Source organism: Homo sapiens, chromosome 1 (assembly GCF_000001405.40).
Source record: "Homo sapiens chromosome 1, GRCh38.p14 Primary Assembly".
Taxonomy (NCBI): Eukaryota; Metazoa; Chordata; class Mammalia; order Primates; family Hominidae; genus Homo; species Homo sapiens.
This window is the reverse complement of record NC_000001.11, coordinates 10,820,908-10,831,494: the sequence shown is the minus strand read 5'-3', so window position 1 is coordinate 10,831,494 and position 10,587 is coordinate 10,820,908. Positions and strand designations below refer to the sequence as shown.

Genomic DNA, 10,587 nt, shown 5'->3' with positions numbered 1-10,587 from the left:
CCTCTGGCAAGTGACTTGACGTCTCTGGGTTTGAATGGGATGAAACCTCACGGGCCTTGCTGTCTGGCCCCAGCAAATTCTTTGATCTCTCTGGGCCTGCCCTGCCTCAGGAGAGCCAGCTGGCTGGTTCTAGGTTGCAGCTTGGACGGGGGTGTGAAGAGGTCAAAGGGGGGTACCTGAGCCCTCAAGCAGATGGGTAACCCTGGGCATTGCTCCATGGGCCTCCCCGATGCATGCCTGCTGTGCCCGTGGGGCCGAGCCACAGCCTGTGGGACCAGTCTCTGGGTGGGGAACTTCTCAGCAGGTGAGTCATCACCCCTGGGGTGCAGCCAGTGACCCAGATGGGGCAAGATCATGACATATATTTATCTCTGTCATCTCCCAGTGCCTCCCCTTCCCCTTCCTCTTCCTGTCCTCATCCCCTCCTCCAGCCATTGGGTGGGCCAGGATGACACTGACTACTCAGCCCCTGATCTCACCTATCCTAGACAAAGTCTATGGTTCTTCTAGGCCGCCTGTCTCTTCCTCTGTAAGTTTGACAATGGTAACAGCCGCCATTAATTGAGCCATTAGCAATTACCAGCAGCTTTGCATACACTAAATTGAACCCCTCCGTTTGTGGGGTGAAGCTGTTGCTGTTGCTATTATTATTCCCATTACACAAGTGATTACAAGGAGGATCAGAGAGGTTGTGTGGCTTGCCCAAGGTTCCAGAGCTAGGGGTGGAGGGGCTGGGGTTCCAACTGGGCTGCTCTGGTGCCGGGGCTCATGATCTTCCCACGATGCTTTGTGGAGTTGTCTTCACGGCTCCCCTCCTAACTCCCTAGGGTTCCTCTCGCCCCCCAGCGCCCCCTGCCCCAGGAGCTGCCACCTGGTTCCCATTACATTGACTTGTCCCAGGTCCCAGCCCATCAGCTGCTGACCTGATCACTCCATCCAGCTGGTGTAATGGGTTACCTCTCTCCGGGAACTTGCTAACTCTACCAGAGGAGTTACAGATGCTGCTAGAGACACCGCCTGAATCCCAAGGAACACAGGCCAGTAGAGGGGAGAGTAGAGGGCAGGCCCCTCAACATGCTCTAGGACAGAGGGTGGGAGAGGGTTTCTGGGGCCATGCCCCCTGGTAGCTGCCGCCCTCCCCCAAACAGGATCTGAGCTGCAGGCTGGGAAGTGACCGAGGGGGAAGGGGCGGCGCCGGGGTGGGGGGGCATCCAGCTGGTGAGCGGTGATCCTTCCTTATCCGGCATCAGCGCATCATCGCTTTTCCAGGCTGAAGTTTCAGATCTCGTTTTCACTTTGGCCTTTGATCACGCCCGGAGTGGGTGGCGGGTGGGCCAGGGAGGTGTGGGGCTGTCAGGGGCATTGGGGAGAGTGAATTCCAAGGTGACACCCTCCCAACTATGTACAAGTATCTGCTGCCTGGAGAAACACTCTGAGGACAAAAGACCAGGGTGGCGGCGAGTGAGTGATCTAAGGATAGGGCCCCCACCCAGCATTGCCCCTGTCTCACCCATTGGGTCGTTTCCTTTTCTGTTTTCCAAATGAAAATAGCTTTGTTGGGTTTCTCCCCTCTGAGGATTAAAGATGCATATGTTTGTTGTATAGGGTTCAGACAATACAGAGAAAAAGGTCCCCAAATCTTTTTTCCTCGTCACCAACACTGGGCAAAGGGGTGACAGGGTCTGTGCATATATCTGCACAAAGATCTTTTTCCCTTATGACAAACGGCATGCTGTGTGCCTCAAACTGTTCTGAAACCTGCCCTTCTCACTTCACAGTGTATGTTGAATACTTGTCTGTGCTGGAGCATTAAAAGCTGCTTTCAGTGGCGACATAAGAGTCCCTGTGCCACACTTTATTTAACCAATTACTTCACTCTGGACATTGACACCATTCCCGGCTTTTGACCCTCCCTGGCCAGGCAGTCCGAGGCTGCCCCTTTCCTGCTTTTCTCTTCTGGGCCCTCCTGCCAGGTTGTCTCAGTTCCTGGTTCCTCAGTCTCTGGATCCGTCTACGGAGGGGGTCTCAGCTCAGCTGGTCCGGGCGGGTGGGAGGGTTCAACACAGCGGGAAAAACATAGGTGTGAGTTCGAGGGAGTTGGTTTCAAGTATAGCTTTGCCATATACTAAGCACGAGGACTTGAATGACTTTTTTTTTTTTAAAAGACAGGGTCTGGCTGTGTTGCCCAGGCTGGAGTGCAGTGACAGCACATGATGACGGCTCACTTCAGCCTCAGCCTCCCAGGCTCAAGCCATCCTCCTGCCCCAGCCTCCTAACTAGGTGGGACCACAGTTGCTTACCACCAATGTCTCGCTAATTTTGTGTTTGTTTTTGTTTTTACAGAAATAGGGTTTCACTATGTTGCCCAAGCTGGTCTCGAGCTCCTGGGCTCAAGCAATCCTCCCATGTTGGCCTTGCAAAATGCTGGGATTACAGGCGTGAGCCACTGTGCCTGGCTTGAATGACCTCTTCTCTCTATAAATCTCGATTTTCCAGTAGAGAAACAGGGATGATAAAAAAACAAAACAAAACAAAACAAAACCTTGCAGGGGCTGCTGTGAAAACCCCGGAGTTTGCGGGTGGAGTGTGCTGGGTCCTGGGCTTGAGGAGACTTGCAGGGGCCAAGCACGGCTGAGAGAAGGGAGTTTGTCCAGGAGAGGCAGGGGCGGCCTGGGCAACGGGGTGGGGGGTGCTCCGGCCACCTCCATTCCTTCATCCTCACACCTGCCAATTTTCCCATTTTAAAAATTACACACGCACACGTTCATTGCGGGGAAATTAGAAAACACATCAAGGTTCTAAAAAGCAAACGTCGTTTCCCGGTGATTTGATCCCCGGGAATGAGCTCCTTTGAACATTTCCTGGTCATGGATCTGAAGGTCAGAAGCTTCCCACTCCCCGAGGGCCTCGCCACAGAAACAGGAGGTCCCCACCCGTTCTGCTGTAAGCAGGATTGAGGCTAGATTTGGGAGGTACTGTCCCAGCGGGCAGTGTCAGCGTCCCTGGGTCTGGCGATGGAGGAAAATGGATTGAGCGCTTCAGGACCAGATGTTGGGGGAGTCTCTGGCTGGGGCCTCCGGAGGCGGCAGCCTCAGAGACACTGAAACTTACCAGTGGAAGAGAAGGGCTATGAAGTGGGGTGGGAGGCGCAAGTGGTCTTTTGGAGGGGACAGCTCTTGCAGAGGAGAGGGTCGGGGAGGGGAGAAGAAAGGGGGCAGGGAGGGACGGTTTACAGCCAGAAACCTGCGTCTGTCACGGGGGCTGCTGGGATGAAAGACGGCGGTGGGCTCTGAAAATGTGTGTGTCAGCAGCGGGCAGGCCCCGCCAACACTCGGAGCTGCCAGGCAGGGAGGCACTTTCAGGGCGAGTGGAGAAAGGACCGAGGAGCCAGGTCCAGCGATAAATCTCAGGCAGGGCCTACTCACACCCCAAGAACCCCGTCTCCTCCCGCCACTCCGGGGGACCCCGGTATTCGGGGGGGTTCCTCCACCCTTCTTCCCCATCCCCTCGCCATTGCCGTCTCCCCAGGAACGTCCTTCATCGGCCCGCAGGGTACATGTCACCCCACGGAGCGTGGGCCCCGTGCCACTGTACACTTCGGAGAATCATTAGCAGAAATCATTAGCTAGAATACAGCCTCCCCCATAAATCTCCCCTGCACCTGGATCGTTTGTCCGTGCCTAATTTCCATCTCCCGAACTTTATGATTTGTCCCTCGTTTGATGAGCATCTCTCCCATCAATTGTGCCGTAAGTGCTTGCAGAGAAAGACCCCCCGCACTGACCCCATCTCAGAGAGACGGGTGTGGGCTCCTGGCCCTGCATGCTAGGTGGAGCCCCCCTCCCCAGCCCCCTCCTTGGTTCGTCCCTGAAAGGGCAGCTTAAAGACGCTGTGCCCGCCGCCTCGCTCCCTCGGGGACCGGAGACAGAGCTGGACTCGGAGCGTGGCTGGGACCATGGGGGAAGGAGGGAGGTGGCAGGGGCCCGTGGTTGGCTGGGTGGCTTGAGTTTCCCATCACAGCCCCCAACTCCCTGTGTGACCTCAAGCATGTTACTTTCTCTCTCTGAGCCTCAATTTCCTATACATGGGGAAGAAGCTGCCCATCTTTCCTGGTTATTGTGAGAGTTGAGGTCATTCACTCACCCATTTGTTGACTCATTCATTCATTTGTGCTTTCACACATTCAAAAATCGTCCAGTAAGTTCATCTACCCAGGAAGCTTCACTGGACGCTCATAAGAGCTATGGACCGGGCTGCTCTGGTCCAGACAGCAAAAGGCTTGCAGATGGTGGGACAGAAAGGAAACGTACTAATTAAGAGCCAGGGCCTTCGTGCCCAGTAGAGATGTGGGTTTGGATCCTGGGTCTACCATGCACTAAATGTGTAACCTTGGGCAAGCCACCTGACCTCCCAGAGTGTCAGTTTCCTCATCTGTACATGGAGGTGAAATGAGCAACCGTAAGGACAGCACCTCACACGTAGCATGCTCGGCCCAGGACACGCACTGCCGTTGCTGTCTCGTCACATTGGGGATTGGAACACGTGAATGAGAGTACTTAGGAAAATGTAGAGGGGGACAGGAACACTGGACCGAGGGTTTCTGCCCACGGAGCAAGTATTTTATTTTATTATTTAAAAAAATTTATTATAGGCCAGGCACGGTGGCTCATGCCTGTAATCCCAGCACTTTGGGAGACTGAGGTGGGTGGATCACAAGGTCAGGAGTTCAAGACCAGCCAGGCCAGCATGGTGAAACCCCATCTCTATTAAAAATACAAAAAATTACCTGGGCATGGTGGTGTGCGCCTGTAGTCCCAGCTACTCGGGAGGCTGAGATGGGAGAACCGCTTGAACCCGGGAGGCGGAGGTTGTAGTGAGCTGAGATCATGCCACTGCACTCCAGCCTGGGCAACAGAGTGAGAGTCCGTCTCAAAAAAAAAATTATTATTTTTTTGAGACAGAGAAAAAAATTATTATTATTTTTTTGAGACAGAGTCTCAGTCTGTCGCCCAGGCTGGAGTTCAGTGGCGCGATCTCGGCTTGCTGCAACCTCCACCTCCCGGGTTCAAGTGATTCTCCTGTCTCAGCCTCCCGAGTAGCTGGGATTACAGGTATGTGCCACCACGCCTGGCTAATTTTTGTAGTTTTAGTAGAGATGGGTTTTCACCATGTTGGCAACACTGGTCTCGAACTTCTGGCCTCAAGTGCTCTGCCTGCCTTGGCCTCCCAAAGTGCTGGGATTACAGGCGTGAGCCACTGCACCCGGCCGGGGAGGGAGTATTTTAAACCTTGCCTCACTGCCTAACAGGAGTGCCGAGGAATGTCTGGTGGACCCCAGGAGAGGGGCTGTGAGGAGGTTAGGAGCAAAGCCTGGAGTTGTGGACCCTACAAAGGAAGGGTGTACCTGGGGCCTGCCCTCAGGAAGCTGTGGGGCTCCAAGAAAGTGCTGGGTCCCCAGGATGGGGCAAGGATGTCAAGTCAGGGAAATTGGGAAACCTGGCTGCCGGGCCCTTCTCAAGGCAGATCTGCCCGTCTGGAAGGCTCCCTGGTTGTGACGTGTGCACCTCAGGGTTTTAGGACACAGAGTTCAGCCCCATCTGCCCACAGGAGGGTGCTGGGAGGAGCCAAGGCCTCTCTGAGTTCTCTCTGGGTCCGGGGCAGAGGGGCATGGCTGTGGAGGGTCCTGCTGTGAGTCCCATCAGGACCTGTGGCAGGGGTGGATCATCTGGAGAGGAAGCCGTGGAAGGAAACTCCCACCTTCAGCCTCCTGGATGGCAGGGGAGGGGCTCAGCCAGCCCCATGATCATGTGCCTGGCATTTGCAGGGCTGTCCTTAATTTCCACTGTGGGTAGCCGGTGAGCCTGGTAGTTGGGTGTGTAAGTCATGTGGCCTCAGGCAGGTTACTCTACCTTCCTGAGCCTCAGTTTCCTTCTTTTAAAAAAGAGATAGTGATCTCACAGACCTCTTACTGTTGTTGGGAGGATTAACTATAAACCTTTTAGTATGGTGTCTGGCACACAGTAGGGCACTCCGTAAATGATGGTTATCGTCATCATCCCAAGAACTATGCTTGCTATGATATAGTTTTTTTTTCTTTATTATCTTCTTGCAAAATTACAAGGGGCAGGACTTTTATGTCCATTTTAAAGGTAGAGAAACTGAGGCCCCAAAGCTGCTCAGAACTTATCAAGATTCCAAACAGCCGATTGGTGGCGAATTTGGGAATAGACCCCAGGCCTACCGGCTCCCATCTTGCCACCCTACCTGGCAGCAGACCAGGGGATGGAGTGTCTGCCCCCAGTGTGTGAATTCCCAGGAGCTGAAAACAAAGAACCGGGATTCGGATTCGTCAACACACTCCCACGGGGTGACTCACCCGAGAACGAGAGCCGGGATCTGCCCTAGCACATTCCCACCTCCCGGCCTGGCAGCAGCAGCCCTGCTGACCTGAGCGCCCAGGAACGGTTGAAGGGGGGTGCCGAAGAGGGGGGTGCACTGGCAGTGGGGAAGGGTCTCACAACCGCTGCCCACCTGGCCAGACTGTGGTGCCTCAGGGCAGCTGCCTCCCGCAGCTTGAGGGTCCCTGATGCTTAGAGGGCCTGGGCCCCAGGGGACACCCACGGTAGTGTCCTCAGCCTGGGGGCAGGAGAGTGGAGCTGGGAGTGGGAGTGGGGCGTGGGGCCGGGCGCCACAGGCTGGGAACAGCTTGCAGGTTTTACAGGTCACATTATCTTTTATGGGCATCCTAAAAAGAATGTCAGGCACTAGAGGGTTTTTTTTCCCCTTTTCTTTCTTTCTGTCTCTCTCTCTCTTTTTTTTTTTTTTTTTTTTTTTTTTTTTTTTTTTTTTTTTTTTTTTTTTTGACTCTGATCACTGCAGTTGCCACTGCAGGATTTTTATCGCAGGCCTGGTCCCTGAGGAGCCAGGCAGCCCCACTGGTACCTGCCAAGGACTGGGTGCTGGGGGAAATCGGGGTGGGTCGGGGTGGGGTGGAGCAGCGTGGCTGCCGGGAGCAGCACGCTCACTTCTTCTTCAGATGGAAGGGCCTGTGTCTCCCCCATCAAGCTAGGACAACAAAGGGCCCATGTCTCCTCCATCAAGCTAGGACAACAAGCTCAACTTCCAAGTACAGCCTTTTCCTCTCCCCTCTACGGATCTCTGCCCGCAGGAGAGTTCAGTCCATGGTGGGGACTAATTCACTTCCAGCATCAGCTCTCTGGCCCTGCATCTCCTAGATTAGGGAGTAGAGAATCCCCATGAAGACGCTGGCTCTCCCCACCCTTTCCCCAGCAGCTCAGTGCCCCTGTGGTTCCATCTGCAGCTGATCTCACTCCCAGGAAGCTGCCTGGCCCCTGGTATCCGCAGAAACCAGCTTTGGGGCCCAGAGGTCCTGCCTGGGCAGCCTCATCTCCCTCACCTTTCAAATGGCTTGGGTCCCCCAGAGCCTACTGCCTCAAGGGCATTGTTTTGGGGGCATTGACTCCCTATTTTTAAGGAAAGCACCGTTCTGGAACTGACAGCAAGATCTACAAGACAAGTATGTGTGTGTTGGAATGGTGGGGGATGCTGGGGAGCACGTTCAGCCAAGAGAAGGACATTCCAGGACTCTCTCTTTTTTTTTTAAGACAAAATTCCACTCTGTTGTCCAGGATGGAGTACAGTGGTAGGATCACTGCAGCCTCTGCCTCCCAGGTTCAAGCGATTCTCCTGCCTCAGCTTCCCGAGTAGCTGGGATTACAGGTGTGCACCACCACGCCAGGGTAATTTTTGTACTTTTAGTAGAGATGGGATTTTCACCAGGTTGGTCAGGCTGGTTTCAATCTCCTGACCTCAAGTGATCCGCCCACCTCAGCCTCCCAAAGTGCTGGGATCACAGGCGTGATCCACTGCACCCGACCTCAAAGACTCTTTGAGTCGACATGGCATGGTGGTTAGAGATATTGATTTGAGGTCCCAGCTCCACTGCTTACCGTCTCTGAGCCTGGCTTTCCTTACCTATAAGACGGGGATGATAAACAAGGGTCTCAGCCTCATTAGGCTGCTGGGGAAAGTCACTGAGTTCACAGACCGTGGCACACAGTAAGAGCTCAATAAATGCGTATGATCATAATTGGTGTTCTTATGAATCAAGTCTGGGTACAGCTGAGCCGCTGCTTTCTGTCCCTGGGGACTCCGGAAAAGGAGGTGTGGGCTGACGTGGCAGCAAGACGCACCACGGTGACATGGCAGGAACAACGCCAGGCCATGATACCAGGCGAGGGGGCCGGGGGTGAGACAGCTCTTTGCCCTGAGATGGTTAAGAAAGAGGAGAGACTGGCCAAGAAAGTGAGTGCCGCCCAGGAAAATTAGGCAGCGGGCCTGATGAAAACCAGGCAGCGAGCCAAGCGAGAAATGTGACCTTCCTTCTGCCTCTCCTTTTTCTTTCCTCAGAACCCGGGGAGGGGTGGGGCAGGATGGCTGCCTGCAGCTGGGGCTTGGGCTGGAGGTACCACTAGGACCGATGGGGTTGGGGGCATTGTCCAGGCAGGGAAGGAGAAGGAAGCCTACGGAAGAGGAGAGGAGGCCGGAAGAGGATGTAGAACTGCACGAAGCCGGCCAGCCGAACTTGGCTTTAGAATCAGACAGGTTTGTAGGGCCTGCTGGGATCCTAGCAGAGCTCTATTATATGCCAGTCATTTTACCCACAAGAAAACAAAGACTCAGAGAGGTGGGGTGACTTGCCCAAGGTTACACAGCAGGCAGAGTAAGAGCCCTGGCTGGAACTCGGGGTTCCTGGCTTTCAGACCCTTCTGACTTTCCCTGCTCTGAGGGTAGCCCAGAGAAATTCAGCCCTTAGCCCAGTGCTCTGAAGGCCTGGTTTTCTCAGGCTGGGGCAGCGCAATGAGAGCATGAGGTCTCAAACCTTCTCCCCCAACTAAGGGTGGCCGCTACCCAGGGTGCCCTGATGGTGGCTCCAAGGGCCCCCTTCAGTCTAGAGTATCTCTTACAAGTTTATGTAAGTTTGATGTGCTATTCCATAAGGGATTTGTGTTGCTTAAATAAAAGTTAATGCAGGTCGGGCGTGGTGGCTCACACCTGATTTCCAGCACTTTAGGAGGCCGAGCGGGGGAGAGTGCTTGAGACCAGGAGTTCAAGACCAGCCTGGGCAACATGGTGAGACCCCATCTCTACAAAAAATTTTTAAAAATTAGCCAGGTGTGGTGGCAAGCACCTGTGGTCCCAGCTACAAGGGAGGCTGAGCCAGGAATCACTTGAGTCCAGGAGGTCGAGGCTGCAGTGAGCTGTGTTCACACCACTGCACTCCAGCTTGGGAGACAGAGTGAGACCTTGTCTCTAAAAAAAAAAAAAAAAACAAAAGTTGGCCAGGTGCGGCGGCTCATGCCTATAATCTCAGCGCTTTGGGAGGCCGAGGCGGGTGGATCACTTGAGGTCAGGAGTTTGAGACCAGCATGGCCAACATGGCGAAACCCCGTCTCTACTAAAAATACAAAAATTAGCCAGGTGTGATGGCGGGCGCCTGTAATCCCAGCTACTCGGGAGGCTGAGGCAGGAGAATCGCTTGAACTCGGTAGGCGGAGGTTGCAGTGAGCTGAGATGGTGCCACTGTACTCCAGCCTGGGCCACAGAGCAAGACTCTGTCTCAACAAAAAAAAAAAAAAAAAAGAAAAAAAAGAAAAGTTAATGCTCCCCCACCCAAAATTTAAGAAAGAAACTGATGGATTGGGAAGACGTGCCAGTTTATCCCAGGGCTTCATCTCCCCAGAGTGGGGCCAGCTCTGCCTGCTAGTGAAGCTCACAATTAATGATCCACTCAGATGTTAGTTTCTTAAGGCCAGGGATTTTGTTAGTTTGGTCACTGCTGTGTCACCAGCACTCAACACAGGGCTTGGCACATAGTAGGTGCTCAATAAATATGTGCTGAATGAATGAGTGAATGAATGAGCAAGGTTGTCCAGAAAGCCTGTCTAAGGAGATGAAGTTCTAGCTGAACTCTGAAAGACAGAGAGGCATTTAATTGGCAAAGAGAGGAGACAAGCTCTCAAGCCAGAGGGAGCAGCTAGTATGAGGGTCCCAAGACAAGAAGAACCAGTGTTGGCGTGGCTGAAATACGGAGTGTGCTGAGTGGGGCGCGGTGGGGGACTGTGAAGCTCAGCTCCTTTCCTTACGCGCTGTGTGATTATTGGTCCTTTCTAAGCCTCCATCCCTTGGTCTGTCAAATGGGGTATTACATTAGGATCCATCTTTCGGGAGTGGGGAGGACCCTGGAGTTGATGCACAGAGCCTGCCTGTGGCCAGTCCTGAATACCAGTAGCCCACAGAAGAATAACAGCAGGCTGGGTGCGGTGGCTCATGGCTGTAATCCCAGCACTTTAGGAGGCCAAGGTGGGCGGATCATCTGAGGTCAGGAGTTTGAGACCACTCTGGCCAATGTGGCGAAACCCCGTCTCTACTAAAAATACAAAAATTAGCTGCGTGTGGTGACAGGCACCTGTAGTCCCGGGTACTTGGGGAAGCTGAGGCACAAGAATTGCTTGAACCCAGGAGGCAGAGGTTGCAGTGAGCTGAGATTGTACCACTGCACACTAG

General features: G+C 53.9%; 3 annotated features.

Moving 5' to 3' along the window:
* Window positions 4,974-5,489: an enhancer, noted in NCBI's record as "H3K27ac-H3K4me1 hESC enhancer chr1:10886063-10886578 (GRCh37/hg19 assembly coordinates)". NCBI's record gives its function as "activates a minimal SCP1, AML or CMV promoter by ChIP-STARR-seq in primed H9 embryonic stem cells {active_cell/tissue: H9 hESC(primed)}" and the evidence as "EXISTENCE:reporter gene assay evidence [ECO:0000049][PMID:30033119]".
* Window positions 6,008-6,525: an enhancer, noted in NCBI's record as "H3K4me1 hESC enhancer chr1:10885027-10885544 (GRCh37/hg19 assembly coordinates)". NCBI's record gives its function as "activates a minimal SCP1, AML or CMV promoter by ChIP-STARR-seq in naive and primed H9 embryonic stem cells {active_cell/tissue: H9 hESC(naive and primed)}" and the evidence as "EXISTENCE:reporter gene assay evidence [ECO:0000049][PMID:30033119]".
* Window positions 6,526-7,043: an enhancer, noted in NCBI's record as "H3K4me1 hESC enhancer chr1:10884509-10885026 (GRCh37/hg19 assembly coordinates)". NCBI's record gives its function as "activates a minimal SCP1, AML or CMV promoter by ChIP-STARR-seq in naive and primed H9 embryonic stem cells {active_cell/tissue: H9 hESC(naive and primed)}" and the evidence as "EXISTENCE:reporter gene assay evidence [ECO:0000049][PMID:30033119]".